Source organism: Homo sapiens, chromosome 2 (genome assembly GCF_000001405.40).
Source record: "Homo sapiens chromosome 2, GRCh38.p14 Primary Assembly".
NCBI classification, from domain to species: Eukaryota; Metazoa; Chordata; class Mammalia; order Primates; family Hominidae; genus Homo; species Homo sapiens.
Window position 1 is genome coordinate 96,266,027 of NC_000002.12, and position 20,015 is coordinate 96,286,041.

A 20,015-nucleotide genomic window follows, 5' to 3' on the forward strand; every position below is an offset into this window, starting at 1 on the left:
CCGGCTCCCCGCCCCGTCCCCCGCGCGCGTCACAGCCTGGGCGCGCCGCCGGCTCTGCGCAGGGCCTCACGGGACTGGTAGTTCGAGGCGGTCCCGCGATGCTTTCCCTGCCGAGGTGAGGGGAGCGACTACAACTCCCAGAGGGTATGGCGGCCGCAGCAGTGGGCAGTTGAGTTTCCGGGGCGACCCAGGTCCTCCGGCGGAAGCGGGAGCCTCTGTCGGCCGCGGAAGCCTGGAGTGGGCGGTACGCAGACGCGCGCGGTGAGACCCGCTGTCTGCTCAGCGGACTCTGCCCGCCCCCACCTCCCCCTGCGTCGGGCCGACATGAAGGACTCGCTGGTGCTGCTGGGCCGTGTCCCGGCGCACCCGGACTCCCGCTGCTGGTTCCTGGCCTGGAACCCCGCGGGGACCCTGCTGGCCTCGTGCGGCGGCGACCGGAGAATCCGCATCTGGGGCACGGAGGGTAAGGCCCAGCCTGGTTGCGCGGCCCTCAGCGCTGAGGGCTCAGCCTGCGCGTAGTGCAGGCGCTCAGCCTGCAGGGGAGGCTGAACCTGTTCCTGGCGGAGGGAGAGTGGGATGTTAGCCACGCCGAGAAGGGCTTTACAGGCAAAGAAGTCTGCGACTGTTGGGAGGAAAAACGTCAGCAGACAAGCTGAAATGTCAAGGGAATTGTGTTAGCTGCAGAGGCAGGAAAATGGGAAAAGAGAGGTGTTAGGAAAGTGGCCTTCAGAGTAACTTGCGACTGGATGGTCACATTTTATCCCGAGGGCATTGGGGAACCAATAGCAATTTTAGATCAGATTTGTTTTAGAAAGATGCCTCCAGAGGTTGGGCGCGGTGGCTCACGCCTGTAATCCTAGCAGTTTGGGAAGCAGAGGCGGGTAGATCACCTGAGGTCAAGAGGTCAAGACCAGCCTGGCCAACATGGTGAAACCCCGTCTCTACTAAAACTACAAAATTAGCTGGGCGTTGTGGCGGGCACCTGTAATCCCAGCTACTCGGGAGGCTGAGGCAGGAGAATCCCTTGAACCCAGGAGGCGAAGATTGCAGTGAGCCGAGATTGTGCCATTGCACCCCAGCCTGGGCATCAGAGCAAAAACTCCGTCTCAAAAAAAAAAAAAAAAAAAAAAAAAAGCTTCCAGACGAAGTAGATTCATTTGCATCTTTGTAAAAGCTGTGAAATACACTCCCTGAGCTTTCCCCCACTAGCTTGATTCCAGTGCTAGCCCCTGATATTGAATGGCTTCATGGTGCTGCACCCAGCTCCAGAGCCTGGCCTGCGCTCCGCCTTTAGGTGACAGCTGGATCTGCAAGTCTGTCCTTTCTGAAGGCCACCAGCGCACCGTGCGGAAGGTAGCCTGGTCCCCCTGCGGTAATTACCTGGCCTCTGCCAGCTTTGATGCTACCACTTGCATTTGGAAGAAGAACCAGGATGACTTTGAGGTACCCAGGCTGGTTGGGACCAGAATTATTGCCTGTTTCCTCCCCAGGGCTGGTTCAGGAACCTGAGCCAACCTGCGCCAGTTGGGCTGTACCCATGGGAAGGGGCTTAGGGGTGTTAGCTGCTGTTAATTCTCATTTTCTTTCCCCTTTCACAGTGTGTAACCACTCTCGAGGGCCATGAAAATGAGGTCAAGTCAGTGGCTTGGGCCCCATCTGGCAACCTCCTGGCCACTTGCAGCCGAGATAAGAGCGTTTGGGTCTGGGAAGGTGAGGCCAGGTCCCTCCAGGTGGATTGGGAACCACCTGACAGCCCCCTCTGTGTCCCTGACAGGGTCGGCTCTTGGGTCCCCTTTTTCTCTCCCACAGTTGATGAAGAGGATGAGTATGAATGTGTCAGTGTTCTCAACTCCCACACACAGGATGTCAAGCATGTGGTTTGGCACCCAAGTCAGGAGGTAAGAGTCAAGCAGGGACTCTTGTGGGAAGGGCTCTGGTGTGCAGGCTTGTGCCCAGCCTTCCTCTGCTTTTCAGCCTTAATCTAGCTTTTACGGAGAGTTCCATCTGTGAACAAAAAACATTAGTCCCTTTATAAAAACAGATCCGGCTGGGTGTGGTGGCTCACACCTATAATCTCAGCACTTTGGGAGGCCATGGTGGGTGGATCATCTGAGGTCAGGAGTTCGAGACCAGCCTGGCCAACATGGTGAAACTCCGTCTCTACTAAAAATACAAAATTAGCGGGCATGGTGGCACATGCCTGTAATCCCAGCTATTCGGGAGGCTGAGGCAGGAGAATCACTTGAACCCAGGAGACGGGGGTTACGGTGAGCCGAGATCGTGCTATTGCACTCCAGCCTGGGCAACAACAGCAAACTTCATCTCAAATAAATAATAAAATAAAATAAAAGCAGATACCTGGAACTGACCTGTCCTTTGCTTCCTGGGCCACACAGACACATGTTGGGTTTCCTTTCACTCTTCCCCCAGCTCTTAGCTTCTGCCAGCTATGATGACACAGTGAAGCTGTACCGGGAGGAAGAGGATGACTGGGTATGCTGTGCCACCCTTGAGGGCCATGAATCCACTGTGTGGAGCTTGGCCTTTGACCCGAGTGGCCAGCGCCTGGCGTCTTGTAGTGATGACCGTACTGTGCGTATCTGGCGTCAGTATCTACCAGGCAATGAACAAGGTGAGGTCCATTAGTAGAGCTAAAGAAGACCCATCTCTCAAGGGGTTCACAGTCTGCTAAGACACGTACATGAGTCAGAGCAAATGGGGGTAAAAGGTAAGATGTGCTACAAGAGGGCTCTGGATAGAGTGCTGGAAGAATCAGGAAAGTTTTGTAGAATGGGTTGTTTCATCTGAATTTAAAAGGGTATGTAGGATTTTAACATGAGAATTTCACGTGAGAATTCAAGTGAAAACTCAACAGTGTGAGTAAAGATAACAATGGCGGGAATGCTTAGACTGAGGGGTGGTAATGCATTTAAATGGGGCATAGGACGTCTGGGGTTTGGAGAGGAATAAAGTGGGTTGGGTCGGCTGGTGGGTGGCCTTCACAGGCACGCAAAGTAGTTACATACAGTCTGCAACAGAACAGGGATGTTTCCTCGGAATTCTGCTTGAGAAACGCCAGTCTGGCTATAGTGTGTAAGGCAGATAAGCAGGGATGGGGACACGAACGGAGACACAGACTCATAATCAGTTGAAGATGAGGGTGAGGGAAGGTAAGTTAGGTTCTCCTTTGAGGTGCCCAGGACATAGGAACGTTTAAGGGCAAGAGAAGTCTGTCTTGCAGGGGTGGCATGCAGCGGCTCTGACCCCAGTTGGAAATGTATCTGTACTTTGTCCGGCTTCCACTCAAGGACCATTTATGACATTGCTTGGTAAGACTCCATCCCCCCACCCCATCCCATCCCCATAAATCAGGGATTTTAGAGAAGGCATACCCTATGCAGTCCTCTGCAACCCTGGGGGAGTGCTTGGGAATTGAGGGCAGCCACCCCCATTCCTTATCAGGCCTGACTCTACCATGCTGGTTTACAGCTGGCTGGGCTGGCATTCACAGGAGCAGAGAACAGTCCCAGGCTGTGAGGGTAGCACCAGCGCTAGAGGTTCGCACAGCTCGTGCTGTCCAGAAGTTATTATTGAATCTGCATTCGTGGCTGAGGGTTTTTTTTTGTTTTTTTGTTTTTTGAGACAGAGTCTCACTCTGCAGCCCAGGCTGGAGTGCGGTGGCGTGATCTCATCTCACTGCAAGCTCCGTCTCCCGGGTTCACACCATTCTCCTGCCTCAGCCTCCCAAGTAGCTGGGATTACAGGCGCCCGCCACCATGCCTGGCTAATTTTTTATTTTTAGTAGAGACGGGGTTTCACCGCGTTAGCCAGGATGGTCTCGATCTCCTGACCTCATGATCCGCCCACCTTGGCCTCCCAAAGTGCTGGGATTACAGGCATGAGCCACCGCACCTGGCAGTGGCTGGGGTTTTTATAGGTAACACTGACTCTGGCCTTGTGGAAGCTGGAAAAGCTGCACCATTCATATAGGAGAGTAGGTTAGAGGGTAGTTCTGGCCCTGAGAATTGATCCCTAGGAAATCCAAAACAGTGAAAAAAACTGAGCACTTAAGCTTGCTTTATATTAGCAAACATTTGGGAATCACCTATTCAACAAAAGTGAACTTAAGTAAATTATGGTAGAACTCAGCTTGTTGTATCACTGTTTAAAGAAAGGGGTTAAGAATACTTTATGATGGGGCCAGGCGCTGTGGCTCACGCCTGTAATCCCAACACTTTGGGAGGCCAAGGTGAGTGAATCATGAGGTCAGGAGTTCAAGACCAGCCTGACCAACATGGTGAAACCCCGTCTCTACTAAAAATACAAAAATTAGCTGGGCGTGTTGGCACGCACCCAATCCCAGCTACTCAGAGGCTGAGGCAGGAGAATCGCTTGAACCCGGGAGGCGGAGGTTGCAGTGAGCCGAGATTGCGCCACTGCACTCCAGCCTGGTGATGGAGCAAGACTCCATCTAAAGAAAAAAAAAAAAAACTTTATGATGGCTGGGCCCAGTGGCTCATGGCCTGTAATCCCAGCACTTTGGGAGGCTGAGGCAGGTGGATCACTTGAGGTCTGGAGTTTGAGACCAGCCTGTCCAATGTGATAAAACCCTGTCTCTACTGAAAATACAAAAATTAGCCGGGCATGGTGGCACATGCCTGTAGTCCCAGCTACTCAGGAGGCTGAGGCAGGAGAATCGCTTGAACCTGGGAGGGGGAGGTTGCAGTCAGCCAAGATTGTGCCACTGCACTCCAGCCTGGGCGACACAGCAAGACTCCATCTCAAAAAAAAAAAAAAAAAAACAACTTTATGACATGGGAAACTGCTTATGCCAAGTGAGGAAAGTGCAGTTCATAATTGCATGTCGTTTTTTAGGATAATCATAGTAGGGGAAAGAACTAGATTGCAGCATCTGAAGATATAAGTGGGTGATATTTGTGACTCCTTATTAGTTAAGGAAACATTTTAATAAGAGGTTTTTAGCTGAGGCCTGAAGTTAGGGAAGAGAACAGGCCAGGAACTATGGAACAGGTCTCTCTGGCCTAATTAGTCAGGTATACCCACTGATGTCACTTTCCTTCCAGGTGTCAGCTGACAGGGGCTCTGGCCACAGCTTGTGGGGATGACGCGATCCGCGTGTTTCAGGAGGATCCCAACTCGGATCCACAGCAGCCCACCTTCTCCCTGACAGCCCACTTGCATCAGGCCCATTCCCAGGATGTCAACTGTGTGGCCTGGAACCCCAAGGAGCCAGGGCTACTGGCCTCCTGCAGTGATGATGGGGAGGTGGCCTTCTGGAAGTATCAGCGGCCTGAAGGCCTCTGAGCTACCTCGACTTTGGACAGAGTAATGACTCCCCAGAAAACGTCATATAAGACTTTACCAGCCCCTGAGAGGACCAGGAGGAGCATCCTTGACCTTCATTTAACTTGGCTCACTTCTCTTCAGACTTGGGTAGAAGTGCAGAGCCACAGAATTGCTTTCCTTCCCCGCCTTTGACATGAGGCCTTCAGTAAAGAGCTACAGAACATGAGTACATTGTTATACCACAGATTTTTCTTGCATTAGGGCACAGTGTTAAATTTTTTGGAGGTAAATATACTATTTATAATCACTATATATAGTAGGAGGGGGTATGTGTCTCAGGCTTTTCTGAAGTTGCAAGACTTAAAGAAATAATCCATCTGCATCCCAAGTCCTATTTTATAAGGATATTCATAAAAATTCCATGGTGAATCCTTGTCTGAAATAGGTCCTCCCTTCCCAGTTTCTGTGTAAGTCTTTGCATTTAAGACATCCAATCAATAATGAAGGAAATTTTTTTCTGAATGTAGGTTTGAGTGAGGGGCACCTCTGCTTTCCCTTAGCAACCCTCATATACCTCCCTGCACCGTTACGCTGTGATGGCAACTGGGGATAGAAAAAAAATGGGGAAAGACAGGAATCCTAAAAGGGAGAGTTATTACTGGCCACAAGCCCTGTATTCTCAACAGGGATGCAAATTGGTTCTTCAGTAAGGATAAAAAAAAATCACAAGCAGTTGTTTGTGGCCCTCCTAAGGCCCACAGCACATATAGTGTGTCTGTGATATTCCATTTTCATGGCAGGGAGTGATCAGGAAGAAGGCTTCCTAGGGGACTGGCGATTTAAACCAGTTGAGAAACACTGCCATCAGCAGGCAGTTTCAGACTCACTCAAGTTGTCTCTTGACAGTCACTTCTAAATGGGTTCTAATGTGACAATGGCCTCCAAAACTACAGCCTTCCCTGAAGTTTAAGCTGTGACCTTAGATTTTAGAAGGACAGTGGGGCTGTACCTAGAATAGTGGTTCTCGAAGAATGCGGCCTGCAGATCCTGGGAGTCCCAAGACCCTTTCAGGGAGGATCTGTGAGGTCAACTGTTGGCACTGTGGCATGAATCAAGGTGGTGGCAGCAAACTTCTAGTAGTTTTGATATGTCCTTGATAGAACAAATAGCAATGGTTAACTATTAAATGTTGACCTAGCCAGCGCAGTGGCTCATGCCTGTAATCCCAGCACTTTGGGAGGCTGAGGCGGGCGGATCACCTGAGGTCGGGAGTTCGAGGCCAGCCTGACCAACATGGAGAAACCCCGTCTCTTCTAAAAATACAAAATTAGCTGGGCATGGTGGTGCATGCCTGTAATTCCAGCTACTCGGGAGGCTGAGGCAAGAGAATCGCTTGAATCCGGTAGGTGGAGGTTGCAGTGAGCCGAGATCATACCATTGCACTCCAGCCCAGGCAACAAGAGTGAAACCCTGTCTCAAAAAGAAAAAAAAAGTTGACCTTGAGAATTTATAATATTCTGAGAAAACTGGAAGCATGCATAAAGCCCCTCTGCTGTGCACTGAAGTATGGGTGCCTTGAGGAAAAGCAGTTACACAGTTGAGTTGCAAGCTGAATTGGCTGTGTTCAAGGCATGCCCTTTAGAATTGAAAGAACTAGCAGATTACGGTATTTAGACTTGAATATTTGGCTGATATTTTCTGGAAATTAATGGAATGAGCCTCTCACCTCAAGGGAAACAACTGATAGTGTTGCCAGTGATAAAGCTTTCAAGCAAAAATTGGAATTTCCGAAAATCTGTACTCCACCATGAGCTTTATTGTTGGGGATATTAACAAATGTGATTTGTATAATGAAATGCATTTCATTTGGAAGAATTCAATGAACCATTTTTCCAAGTGACCAGTACGTGATGTTACAAAATCATGCATGGCTCAAAGATTGATTCAAAAGTGTAAGACAGGCCAGTGGATTTTAATGTATTAACAATATAAGAGTGCATTAAGTTTTCGGAGTCTACATTGCCTTTAAGAAACTATGACTTGTAGTAAGCCGGGCGCGGTGGCTCACGCCTGTAATCCCAACACTTTGGGAGGCCAAGGTGGGTGGATCACAAGGTCAGGAGTTCAAGACCAGCCTGGCCAATATGGTGAAAGTCCGTCTCTACTAAAATTACAAAAATTAGCCGGGCGTGGTGGCAGATCCCTTGTAGTCCCAGCTACTCGGGAGGCTGAGGCAGGAGAATAGCTTGAACCCGGGAGGTGGAGGTTGCAGTGAGTCGAGATCGTGCCACTGGACTCCAGCCTGGGTGACAGAGCGAGACTCCATTTCAAAAAAAAAAAAAAAAAAAAAAAATCACTTGTAGTCTTGGTGTGGTATCAAAGAATAGCCACAATTAGCTGAAAAGGCTATTTTAAAAACTTTTCCAACTGCGTATCTGTGTGAAGTCAACTTACTTCAACAAAAAAGTTTGGATGTAGAAGCAGCTGTAAGAATTCAACTGTTTATTATAACAAGATACTAAAGAGACTGTAAAATGCCACCCTTCTCCTTGGATTGTTTTGGAAGTTATTCTTCATAAAAAATGTTAACGTGGGCTGGGCATGGTGGCTCATGCCTGTAATCCCAGCACTCTGGGAGGCTGAGGTGGGCGGATCACTTGAGCTCAGGAATTCAAGGTCAGCCTGGGCAACATGGCTAAACTCTGTCTCTATTAAGAAAAAAAATGTTAACATTATGATTTAAAAGTGCATTAACCTTAATCTAGATAATAAAAGCTTTTTGGGGCAACCTCCAGAACTGTGAAAAATAAATTTGTTATTTAAAAAGAAAAAAAAAAAAACAAAAACCTGAGTTTCTTAGTTTTTAGTAGTGTAAAGAGGTCCTAAGACCAAATCATTTGAAAACTGCTACCCTGAGGAAACTGCCCTTCAGAATCATCTTTCAATTTTGTGTGCATTTAATCTAAAGAACAGAAGGTAAGAATTTGAAGACAGTCGGAAGATCTGGATTAGAAAACCTGTTTATTAAGACTGGGTCACATCCAGCTAGTACATTTCAGTGCCCTTTCTGGTGCTGCCTCCCAGGAGCAGACACTGCAAATTTCAGAACCCCCATCTAGAGAAACCCCTAACCTGTGATCTAGCTTCCGAGGCTCAGTGTTGGTTCTTGTGGTAGTGCTGATGTGTGGGTACCACTGAGGCCAGGCCACAGTCGCATGTACCCTCCTCTGGGCTGACTCACGAGGCTACAGGGGACAGCACACCTAATGAGCAGGTCTGTCCTCCAGACATACTCATTAACAAGCACGTTCCTGGCTAAAAAATAACCAGATCTTTTTGGCCGTGCCCTCAGGTTGGAGAAAGAAAACTTTTAATTTGGAATCACTACAAAGACAAATGGTTTCTACAAATTATTTTATTAGAATGTCAGACTCAAAAGAACTACCAGGAACATGCCTGAAAATGCTATATATGATTTATGCTTGACCCATGACACCTGCTGTCACTGGATCCAGAGTGAGCAAGGGAAAGGAAGTGGAGGTAGGCGGGGACAGCACCAGCCCTGGCTGGCCAGACCTGAGGCCCACAGACCTGGTCCCCACAACCAGGATTCCTACAATGTACACATTCCTAATTCAGGCTCAACTCTCCTTTACCCAAAAGTAAATGCCTCAGGACTCAATCTGAATCACTGTCTGTCTCAGCTTCTTTCACATCCACGCTGAATTTGTACTCCTGGTCACATCCCATGTAAGCGTCACTCATGAAGTACAGAGTGTAGTTGTGGGCACCAGTGGCTGGGGCCACAAAGTCCAACTTCACCTAGAAAGAGCAGGCAGAAATCAAGATGAGCATGGACACAGGAAGCATTCTCACCCTTCCCCCATGCCAGAACAAATGCTAGGGCCAGTGGACACACTCACCTTGGCCTTCTGCTGCAAGGTCAGCCTCTTGATGGAGATGAGGCTATTGGACTTGGCATCTCCAATCACCACCCACCAGCCCTCTTCACGTTTCTGCAGTGATCCAAAACCAAGAATTTCAGCATGTAAAACTTGATGACCATAGGCAACCATGAAAATGGTACAGTTACAAAAGAGAGAACAAAAATCAGATAGCTTTCCAAAGTTTCTTCCCGAAATACAATTAGATTTAACATTTTAATACTATCAAAAGTTGTCTCAAACAGACTTAATTTTTTAAGTAGATGAATTCATTTGTTGGTTCTGGCTCATTTCCTTGTGCCAAGGTACCTTCTCCCACTTAGTACCTGCCACTAAGTCCAAGGTACTACTATTAGAGGTCTAGTCTTTGGGGCCTAGGAGCTTTGAGTTCCTTAGAGATACTTTTAAGTACAAGGCAAATCTGCCAGATGAGAAAAAGCTTAGGCTGGGCGCGGTGGCTCACGCCTGTAATCCCAGCACTTTGGGAGGCCGAGGCGGGTGGATCACGAGGCCAGGAGATCGAGACCATACTGGCTAACATGGTGAAACTCCGTCTCTACCAAAAATACAAAAAAGAAATTAGCCGGGCATGGTGGCGGGTGCCTGTAGTCCCAGCTACTCGGGAGGCTGAGGCAGGAGGATGGCGTGATTCCGGGAGGCGGAGCTTGCAGTGAGCCGAGATCGCGCCACTGCAGTCCAGCCTGGGCGACAGAGCGAGACTCCGTCTCAAAAAAAAAGAAAAAGCTTAACACAGAGCTGAATGTGCACAGAGATATCCACAGCAGGCCTTGCAGCCCTGTCTACGGGCTGCCCCGCTGTCACAAAGACGAAGAGTCCCAGTTAAAAGCAGTCTTTACTCAGAGCCTTGAAACAATTAGTTTACAGAATTAAACATGACAGTATCTGGTTTCTGCTATCAACCTTCAATTATTCTCCCATATAAAGAGAACCAGAATTTCTTTCTGGTGGTAAAAAACCAAGCACCCAGAAGCACAGTAAGTGGCAGTGAGAAAAAAGAAGAAACAACCAGGAAAGCCCAAGTGTCCTGCAGCCATCGGAGTTAAAGACAAATGCATCTTAAAGAGTCAGAGAGATGGACAATACTACACAACTGACGGGTTTAACAATGACCAGTCATCTAAATTTTTTTTTTTTTTTTTTTTTGAGATGAAGTCTCACACTCGCCTGGGCTGGTGTGCAGTGGGGCAATCTCGGCTCGCTGCAGCCTCCGCCTCCTGGGTTCACACCATTCTCCTGACTCAACCTCCTGAGTAGCTGGGACTACAGGTGCCCACCACCACGCACAGCTAATTTTTGTATTTTTAGTAGAGACGGGGTTTCACTATGTTGGCCAGGCTGGTCTCGAACTCCTGACCTCGTGATCCGCCCGCCTTGGCCTCCCAAAGTGCTGGGATTACAGGCGTGAGCCACTGCGCCCGGCCCTAAACTGTTTAAGCAGAAACAAACAGAAAAAAAACCCCATAGCCTCAAGATTAATTCTCACCCTTGTGAGCTGATTATCAGTCTAAAGTTTCCCTCCCTCAGGGACAGTGTGCCCTTGTACCAAGCACCTAGCCAATGGATAGGGTGAGTTGACACCTGACCAAGCCAGCTACCAGGACGCACCTGCGGGAAGAGAGGCGCAATGACAGGGCCTGTGACTTCCTCCTCTCGCTCCAGCTGCACCAGCACCACAACTGGCCCGCCACTGCAGGGGGAGAGGAGGGGCGCACGTCAGTGATGGGGCAGTGGGCTCAGAGCACACTATTATGCTGTGCCCAACAGGCACCACCTCTGGCTCACCTGCGGATGCTGTCCTTATCTACCACCTCATAAGATAGTTCGATATTAGGGTAGCGGTTACAAAAGCGAGCCACATCTGCAATCTGGCTGTCAGTCAGCTGAAGCAACGCGTTCCGTTCTTCATCCTCCATCTCCATGATGTCGAAAACACTCTCCACTCCCTGCAGTGAGTATTCAGACGTCAGGAAAGAGAGAACACGGGCCAACAGCAAATGACACAGGCAGCAAAGAGCTACTAATTTTACCTCCTACACTATCAAGTCATCTAGATAAAACAGCTGCAGAAAGAACACAGCCCACAGTTGGCAGGCTCTCTAGCATCTCAACAGGGAGCACCTTCGGAGGAACCATAACTAAAAGTTTAACTTACTGAGACTCACCTCCCGCAACCCACGCTCGGTCCACAACACTGGGCTCTCAGGCTCACCCACCTGACCCTCTAGGCTGACCCGGCTCACCTTGTCTGTGCAACGTTTGATATGCTCAGAGGTGAAGTGTGGCAGCTGCTTCAGGTATGAGTCCTTGGACCACATGGCTTGGGTGACCATCTGGGCCAGTTCCATAGCTGCCAGAGCAGGGCTGAGCCACCCATTGCTGGAAAGGACATCCACGCAGGCCTGGATGAGCCGGATTGCCTGAACAGGAAAAGGAGTATAAAAGTGGGCGGAGTTGGAGCTGAGATGTTTAGAGCACCACTGACCCCTCTGCCCCACACCCACACTCTACCTTACTAAGGATTTCCTCCGTATCTGACTGCAACTCAGCACTCAGCTGCATGCGAGACAAGTGAGCCTGCAGGAGCAGGTTGGTCTTGACGTGCGGATCATTGAACTTAGGGTTATTCAGCTTGTGGGGGACCTTCTGAGCCAACTACAAAGTGGAAGAAAAATAGCTGGTGATGAACAGGTGACCCTGCCTGAGACCAGCTCAGGCCAAAGCACCACGTGGCCCAGGCTCACACAGCCCTTCAACACCCTGAGGCATGTGGGTGGTAATGGGATGGAGATGGGTTTGAGGGAGGTATGGAGCGGGAGGACATATGGCGGGGGTCGGGGGATGCGTATGGGCGTGTTGGTGGCAGGGATGCCATGTGCTCTGGGCACACAGGCCGAGTTTGTTGTTCCCAGGATGCTCTCCTGAAGTCTGCTGTCCTCACCTGCCTCAGGAGATTGTCTTCATGGTGCCGGATGGGAATGTTCTCATACTCTGCTGCATTGGAGATGATCTCGATAAGCCCTCGCACCTTGGTCTTGGCATTGAGGGACATGCTGAAGAGCTCTGACAGAAAAAGGAAATGTGAGAGAAGCTAAAACCAGGCAGAGAAGGAGCAGAACTGCCCGGGCTCCCCTGCTGTCCCCTGCAGTGTCATCCCGCTGACAAACACGGGCGCACCTCTCATCCCAGTGGGCTCCTGACCCGTGTAAAAAGGCTCCCACAGACAGGACACGGGCCATGCCGGGCCTCACCAATGGTGGTGTAGTTGATGTAATAGTAGGCGGCGATCATGCCTAGGTTCAGAGGCGCCACGTCCATCTCGTCCTCGATGCTGATGCACTTGGACTGCTCCAGGTCACTCAGGGTCTGCTCCACCAGCTCTGACAAGTGGTCCGACAAGTGACGATGGGAGATGCCTATGGAGGCGAGAGGTGAGTGGGGAGCCTCAAGAAGATGCCCAGCAAAGACTGTGAGAACCACCAAAGGATCACGTGTGCTCCCAAGCCCACTGACCCTGCAGGTTGTAGTAATTGGGGTTCTGTGTCATGCGGCGGTACAGAAAGGTCCAGGTGAGGTAGTCCACAGCATCCTGCTTGTTCTCAATGGTCTTGGTGACGATCTCAGCATTGAAGTGGTCATGCATACAGTGGTCCAGGTGAGATTCTACTGGCAATGGCTCATATAAGAACTTCTTGAAGAAATCCTGTGGGTTGGAGAGGGAGAAGGAGTAATAAAGAATTAGTGACAACACGGTCACAGAGGGCCAAGGGCAAATCAACAGGGCATGGTCCCTGTGTGAGACCTAACTAATACCAAAATGGAAGAAGCCACACATTTAGAAAGTGCATCACTGGTGACAATACGCAGTGGGAACAGAGGTACAGCAAGTCACGAGGGCAGAGCAGTGAGCAGCCCAAGGAGGAAGGAGAGAACCAAGTAGAGGGTGAAGACCTCAACACGTGGAGCCAACGGCAGCAGCAAAAGCAAAAGGCAGCAAAATTCCATGTGGGTGGCAGGCTCGTCACAAAAGAATTGTGTAAATAAGAGAGGCAGAAGTTAAGAGACTAAAGTTACTGAAGACATCTATCAAAAGAAAGATTAAAGAATCCATTCTGAGGCTACGGATCCAAGAGGCTCCATGAGTCTAGGACTGACCTTCTTGGAGCCCTGACACATGATGACACAGCGCCCCTCATCGTCCTGCAAAGGGCGGTTGGCGTGGCCCACCATCTGAAGCACGTCATAGATGGGGTAATCCACATAGCTGGTGACAGAAGCAGGGAAAGAAGGAAAAGCCACCTCAACACGGAGACCATGCTCAGGAAGCCCAACTCCCTTCGCCAAGTAAGAGTAAAATGTTAATACGGGGAGACACGGACAAATCACGGGACGACTCTGTTTATGAATCTCTGCACTTACAACTAGCTTCACTGGCTGGCCTGTATAACATTTTAGTATTCAGTGTAAGGGCCATGAATTTGCTGCTCAAGTGCCATGAACCAAGCTACAAAACTATCTAATGCCAAAACCAAAATAACTCCCTATTCGAGGATCAAATATGTAAGTCAAACTTCCCAAACTTTTCTCCTTTAATTAAAAAAAATTATTATTGTTTTTATTTGTTTTTTGATACAGGGTCTTGCTCTGCTGTCCATACTGGAGTGCAGTGGCACAGCCACGGCTCACTGCAGCCTTTACCTCCTAGGCTCAAGTGATCCTCTCACTTTAGCCTCCAGAGCAGGTGGGACTACAGGTGCATACCACCACACTTTCCAAACTTCATAGTTGTGTATTTCGTGAGTCATCAAGTCACCCAACTTTAACCCTACCTAGAAGCAGGTTCAAACATTAAAAATGAACCCGTAAATAAAATTCATTTCAAACTAATCTGCATTTCAGGAAAAAGTTATTAAGCGTTGGGCCAGGCACTATAACTCACACCTGTAATCCCAGCACTTTGGGAGGCTGAGGTGGGTGGATCACTTGAGCTCAGGAATTCAAGACCAGCCTGGGCAACATGGTGAAAACCCATCTATACAAAAAAAAGGAAAAATTAGCTGGGAGTGGTGGCACATGCTGGTAGTCCCAGCTACTTGGGAGACTGAGGCAGGATGATTGCTTGAGCCTGGCAGGCAGAGGCTGTAGTGGGCTGAGATCATACCACCGCATTCCAGCCTAAACGACAGAACAAGATTGTCTTAAAAAAAAAACAACAACAAATTATGCAGGCTTTTTTATGAGAATGACTGACTCTTCTAACTTCTTTTTTTTTGAGATGGAGTCTCGCTCTGTTGCTCAGGCTGGAGTGCAGTGGTGCTATCTCGGCTCACTGCAACCTCCGCCTCCTGGGTTCCAGCGATTCTCCTGCCTCAGCCTCCCAGGTAGCTGGGATTACAGGCGCGTGCCACCACACCAGGCTAATTTTTGTATATTTAGTAGAAACAGGGTTTCACCACATTGGCCAGACTGGTCTCGAACTCCTGACCTTGTGATCCACCCGCCTTGGCCTCCCAAAGTGCTGGGATTACAGGCATGAGCCACCACACCTGGCCCTTTTTTTTTTTTTTTTTTTTTTGAGACGGGGTACCACTCTGTTGCCCAGACTGGAGTGCAATGGCGCGATCTTGGCTCACTGCAACCTCTGCCTCCTGGGTTCAAGTGATTCTCCAACCTCAGCCTCCCAAGTGGCTTGAATTACAGGTGAGTGGCTTGAATAACAGGCACCTGCCATCAAACCTGGCTAATTTTTGTAGAGACGGGGTTTTGTCATGTTGGCCAGGCTGGTCTTGAACTCCTGACATCAGGTGATCTGCCCACCTTGCCCTCCCAAAGTGCTGGGATTACAGGTGTGAGCCACCACACCCAGGCTTTTTTTTTTTTTTTTTTTTTGAGTTGGAGTCTCACTCTGTTGCCCAGGCTAGAGTGCAATGGTGGGATCTCAGCTCACTGTAGCCTCTGCCTCCCAGGTTTAACTGATTCTCCTGCCTCAGCTTCCCAAGTAGCTGGGATTACAGGCGCCTGCCACCACACTCAGCTAATTTTTGTTATTTTTAGTAGAGACGGGGGTTTCACTATGTTAGCCACACTGGTCTTGAACTCCTGACCTCAAGTGATCCGCCCGCCTCAGCCTCCCAAAGTGCTGGGATTACAGGCATGAGCCACTGCGCTCGGCACTCCTCTAGCTTCTTACTTGTCACTATATAGGTGTATGACCTCGACCAAGTCACTTTTCCTAATCTACAAGATGTCTGAGATTAATGACGTAACGTCAAACATTCCTCCTGGCTCTAATTTCCTACCTCTCCCAGCTGCTGAATAAGGAAGCACAATGACTAAAAAGCAAATGTGAGCCTAGGTATTGAGACACAAAACTCTCAAACACTTGGCTCTGGTGGCATCTCAGCTGTTAACTTCCCTAACACCTTTTCTTCATCCTAGCTTACTTTCTGTGTATCTGCAGATTCACATTCATTTTAGGAAGGAGGTCTGTGCTAACACAGAGCACCAGTTGTACTCACGCGTGGATCTTGCCATTGTAGTACTGGGTATCCATGATGATTACCAGGTGGGCAGCCACGTTCATGCCCCAGCAGAGACTCCGAGAAGCCACCACCACCTGGATAGCCCCTGAGCAGTAGAGGGGAGAGGAAGGCTGAGGGCAGGGGTCTCCGGGTGAAGTAGGCTCACTGCCTCATGGGCAGGCCGTGGCTTACCCTGTGCTATGTTTCAGAACTCACAGCAAGGCTGGCTAGGAACAAGGTCTAACATGAATGAGAGCTAACACATTGCTATGAGGTAGCTCCACGCTGCTGGTGCCTTGCTCTGGGACTATCCAGGAGAAAACAAGTCATCATAGAACAGAACCCAAAGCCCAGGAACACCAAGGCAAAACTACAGCTGATGGACTGCTCCTCTGACCAGAAAGTGCTAACACTCATGCAGCCACGGGCTGGCTCAGCCATGCCAGCAAAACAGAGATCACTCTAAGCATGCCCCAAACAGGCAGATTCAAGGGCCAAAGAGTGACAGGAAGTGATTCTGGCAGAAGAATCTCCAATGAGGCTCCAATAAACAGTATTAAAACGTAAATCTTTGCACAAAATGCCACAGGGCAACAAGAGACAGTGGCCAGCAAGAGTGAGCTCAAGGGAGAATCAGAGCTCTCCTCTGTGCTAATCTCTAAAGTCTAACTATCTTGGTGAGACGGTTTGGATCTGTGTCTCCACCAAATCTCGTCGACCTGTAGTCTCCAGTGTTGGAGGAAGGGCCTGGTGGGAGATGACTGGCTAATGGAGGCAGAGTTCTCATGAATGGTTTAGCACCACCCACCCTTGGTACTGTCTAGTGAATGAGTTCTCACGAGATCTGGTTGTTCAAAAGTGTGTAGCACCTCCCCACTCACTCTCTCGGTCCTGACTCCTGCCATATAAGATGCCTGCTTCCCCTTTGCCTTCCCTGAGGCCTTCCCAGAAGCAGATAACACCATGTTTCATGTACAGCCTGCAGAACTGAGTCAATTAAACCTCCTTTCTTTATAAATGACCCAGTATCAGGTATTTCTTTATAGCAATACAAGAACGGACTAATACACTTGGGGAGTCTGGTATCCACGGAGAATCAGCGGTCTGGTGGCCAAAGGTCCTGGACTCTAGAAAACCAGGTTCTGAAATAGCACAACCTGATGTGTCTGCCTGTTTTCTCACCTGGCAAGTAGGGATAGTGTTTGTCTCACCTGCCTCACGAGGTTCTTGGGAGGATCAAATGAGTTAACAGCCAAGAGTCCTAAACAGTATTTTGAAAATCTCTGGTATGCTGTAGAGAAAACACTGCCACCCGCACCCCTCAAGTTTAACACCACCACTTGGTGATACCCTTGCTATGCTCCCCTTCCGTGGCCTGACTTACCTGAGCTGAAGAGCTGCTCCACCAGGCGTCGCTCCATGGGGCTGAGCCCCTCATGCAGGTAGCCCACCCCATTTAGCAGCGTTTCCTTGAGCGTGCTGTCACTTAGCTTCTCCAGGTACGGAATCAGATCCTTCTCGGTGCAGTGCAAGAACCTGTGCGGTACAGGCACTGGCTCAGCTCAGAGTAGTTCAATTCCTGGCAGACACTTTGCCAGCTGTGCAGAACCTGGCCCCAAGCAACATGGGCTAACCCCACCCTCATAAAGAGGACACCCTTGGAGTAGGCCAGCCTCACTTAACCTAACCCCAACCCCCAGACGCCAGGCCCCACCTACCTCTGCCGTTGGATGTCTGCTGCACAGGTGGTGAGGATGTCAATGGCAGTGAGGCGGGTCTGCTTGCGAGACGGCACAAAGACAATGACAGGCTTCTTGGGCGAGTGCTTGGTGATAGCATGGTACACAGGCTTGGCCATGGAGAGCAGGCGGGTTTGTGTATGGCTGATGTTGAAGCCCTGGCGACCGGGGAGAAGAAAAGACACCAAGGTTATCAGACCTGGGTCACTCAGGATCTATGTGACACCCCACAGACGGATGAGGAGAGTGGGTCCTACCTGGATGTGCAGCTCCAAGGGGACGGGACGCACATTGGGATGGAAGTTGAAGGTGGAGGTGGCACTGCAGCCCAGCCAGTGGGCCACATCCTTGGCATTGGAGAGCGAAGAGCTGAGTGCCACAATGCGAATGGGCCGCTCAATCTGGGAGGAGATGTAGCGCATTCGGGAGCAGATCACTTCTAAGACAGGCTGGAAAGAGGGAGGGAGGGAGGGTCACTGCAGGCCAAGGCTCCCATCCTCTGCCTGGAGGTCCCCTTTGTGAACAGCCCAACAGCCTCAAAATGACCTCATTCTTCCTTCTAACTAGGAGCTCTCATGTGTTTGGTTCTACCTCCTCCACGGCAGCCAACCTCCACTAAACAATACTGTTTTCCTAAAGTACTACCAAAAAAGTTAACATTGTCCCTTTGGAATAGGGCAGCAGGTAGAATCCTCTGGGGAGAAGCCCCGAGCCTCCGTCCTCAGACCCAAACATTAGGTCCAATGCCAAGGCCACTTGGTCAGTCCCAGTCCCTCATCTGTGCTGCAAGGTCACGCCATACCCCATTCTCGCCCCCGATAAGGTGGACCTCATCCACCACGAAGAGGTTGATGTTCTGCACGTTCTTGCGCTGCTTCCATCGCCGGGAAAGTATGTCCCACTTCTCAGGGGTGCTGATGATAATGTTCCCTTTGCCCAGCAGCTTCAGGTCTGTGCTGGTCTCGCCTGTCAGGAGTACCACCTTCTTGTTGAGCCTGTCCTGGAACTTCTCGTACCAGTCCATGTATACCTGGCGGGCAGAGGAGGGAGGCAGAACAACACTAGGCCATACCAGGCATCTTTCACTTATGTGAGGAAAACCTGAGATGCCAAACAGACCTGTTGACCTGCAGATCTCAAGCTACGTTCTAATCCCATAGCAGCCTCTATGCGATGCGATGGGGCAGCTTTTTCTTTTTTTTTTTTCTTTTGAGATGAAGTCTCGCTCTTGTTGCCCAGGCTGGAGTGCAGTGGTGCGAACTTGGCTCACTGCAACCTCCGCCTCCCGGGTTCAAGCGATTCTCCTGCCTCAGCCTTCCAAGTAGCTGGGATTACAGGCGCACACCACCACGCCCAGCTAATTTCTGTATTTTTAGTAGAGACAGGGTTTCACCATGTTGGCCAGGCTGGTCTCGAACTCCTGATCTCCGGAGATCTGCCCGCCTCGGCCTCCCAAAGTGCTGGGATTACAGGCGTGAGCCACCACGCTTGGCTGGGGCAGCTTTTCTTTAATACACAAACTGAGGAAATGACCCTGCAAATTTCAGGGCTTAGAAAGCCTTCATACGGAATCACAGATGAAATGCTTCTTGGGAAATTCACATGACACAGCGCCACGTCATACCTGCTCTGCCAGGGCCTCCATGGGGGTGATGTACACACAGCGCCCCTCCGAGCTCTGCAGCAGCATTCGCAGGATGGCAAACTCTGCACAAATAGTCTTCCCGCTGCCCGTGGGGGCCCCCACAAACACGTTGTCGTCACTGTTGTATACAGTGTTAAACACTGGAAACCAACAGAAAGAAGCAGTGTAAGTATCAAGAAGGAAGAAGAGACGGACTGGGACATGGATCAATTGTCAAAACAAAGGACAACATACGAAATGAAGTCAGGCAGTTCTGGAGTGCAGACAGAGGAGCTAAGGCATCCAAGCCTCTAACTCCAGGCCAGCCCTACTGTACCCCCTTACCTGCTCCCACTTAACAGTTAAAGGGGAAGAGGCCAAGATCAAGAGCCCAGGTCCCCTGGAGATGTGTGGGATGACAACAAAAGCAAAGCAAAAGAAGCCACACATTCTTCTTTGCTTCTCAGGGACTAGGATGCGGGACAGAAAGGAACTGGATCCCTTTCTCTGCCCCTTCAACACTCTCCTGCGTTTCCTAGAAATAGCCTAAGGTAGAAAGTAAGAGCCTTATCCCTGGCATCAAGACTGAATTAAAATCCAAGTTCTACTATTTATCAGTTGGTTCAACTGGGGAACCCTCTATGCCTCAGTTCCTCACCTATAAAAGGAACACTAATGGCAGTATCTCCAATAGAGATTCCTTTTAGGCTTGATGGGAGGAATAAGAGAGAAAACACCGGTGATGTACTCAGCCATGGACTGAGGAAACAGTGCCTGCTCTGTGAATGTCCCCGTTATTTATCATGATGTGGTGAGGAGGCTTCAGTGCCACCCCATGGTTCTGGTTCAATACTTGAGCGCC

General features: G+C 49.8%; 2 protein-coding genes across 2 annotated transcripts in view, besides 4 other annotated features; one reads left to right on the forward strand and one right to left on the reverse strand.

Annotated features, from left to right (window-relative positions):
• Positions 91 to 280: an enhancer, noted in NCBI's record as "active region_16212". NCBI's record gives its function as "activates an Ori minimal core promoter by ATAC-STARR-seq in GM12878 lymphoblastoid cells {active_cell/tissue: GM12878}" and the evidence as "EXISTENCE:reporter gene assay evidence [ECO:0000049][PMID:35858748]".
• On the forward strand, positions 199 to 8,147 carry CIAO1 (cytosolic iron-sulfur assembly component 1). The gene is made up of 7 exons (NM_004804.3): positions 199 to 463; positions 1,295 to 1,443; positions 1,599 to 1,710; positions 1,810 to 1,898; positions 2,431 to 2,632; positions 3,242 to 3,329; positions 5,085 to 8,147. The coding sequence occupies exons 1-7, from the start codon at positions 325 to 327 to the stop codon at positions 5,323 to 5,325; spliced, it is 1,020 nt and encodes a 339-aa protein (NP_004795.1). The 5' UTR covers positions 199 to 324; the 3' UTR covers positions 5,326 to 8,147.
• Positions 511 to 790: an enhancer, noted in NCBI's record as "active region_16213". NCBI's record gives its function as "activates an Ori minimal core promoter by ATAC-STARR-seq in GM12878 lymphoblastoid cells {active_cell/tissue: GM12878}" and the evidence as "EXISTENCE:reporter gene assay evidence [ECO:0000049][PMID:35858748]".
• Positions 1,388 to 2,587: an enhancer, noted in NCBI's record as "CDK7 strongly-dependent group 2 enhancer chr2:96933152-96934351 (GRCh37/hg19 assembly coordinates)". NCBI's record gives its function as "activates an origin of replication core promoter dependent on BRD2, BRD4, P300/CBP, MED14 and CDK7 cofactors, with strong dependence on CDK7, by STARR-seq in HCT116 cells {active_cell/tissue: HCT116}" and the evidence as "EXISTENCE:reporter gene assay evidence [ECO:0000049][PMID:35650434]".
• The window catches only part of SNRNP200 (small nuclear ribonucleoprotein U5 subunit 200), a 31,209-nt gene continuing 19,505 nt past the window's right edge, over positions 8,312 to 20,015 (reverse strand). The window contains exons 30-45 of the mRNA NM_014014.5: positions 19,154 to 19,314; positions 18,332 to 18,559; positions 17,787 to 17,978; positions 17,509 to 17,687; positions 17,175 to 17,326; positions 15,788 to 15,896; positions 13,425 to 13,533; positions 12,783 to 12,972; positions 12,521 to 12,685; positions 12,211 to 12,332; positions 11,781 to 11,924; positions 11,513 to 11,689; positions 11,055 to 11,215; positions 10,878 to 10,959; positions 9,231 to 9,323; positions 8,312 to 9,129 (exon numbers count right to left, since the gene is read on the reverse strand). Coding sequence (NP_054733.2) covers positions 8,986 to 9,129; positions 9,231 to 9,323; positions 10,878 to 10,959; positions 11,055 to 11,215; positions 11,513 to 11,689; positions 11,781 to 11,924; positions 12,211 to 12,332; positions 12,521 to 12,685; positions 12,783 to 12,972; positions 13,425 to 13,533; positions 15,788 to 15,896; positions 17,175 to 17,326; positions 17,509 to 17,687; positions 17,787 to 17,978; positions 18,332 to 18,559; positions 19,154 to 19,314 — 2,408 coding nt within the window. The 3' untranslated portion in view covers positions 8,312 to 8,985. The remainder of the gene's footprint in view (positions 9,130 to 9,230; positions 9,324 to 10,877; positions 10,960 to 11,054; positions 11,216 to 11,512; positions 11,690 to 11,780; positions 11,925 to 12,210; positions 12,333 to 12,520; positions 12,686 to 12,782; positions 12,973 to 13,424; positions 13,534 to 15,787; positions 15,897 to 17,174; positions 17,327 to 17,508; positions 17,688 to 17,786; positions 17,979 to 18,331; positions 18,560 to 19,153; positions 19,315 to 20,015) is intronic.
• Positions 12,756 to 13,955: an enhancer, noted in NCBI's record as "BRD4-independent group 4 enhancer chr2:96944520-96945719 (GRCh37/hg19 assembly coordinates)". NCBI's record gives its function as "activates an origin of replication core promoter dependent on BRD2, P300/CBP, MED14 and CDK7 cofactors, and independent of BRD4, by STARR-seq in HCT116 cells {active_cell/tissue: HCT116}" and the evidence as "EXISTENCE:reporter gene assay evidence [ECO:0000049][PMID:35650434]".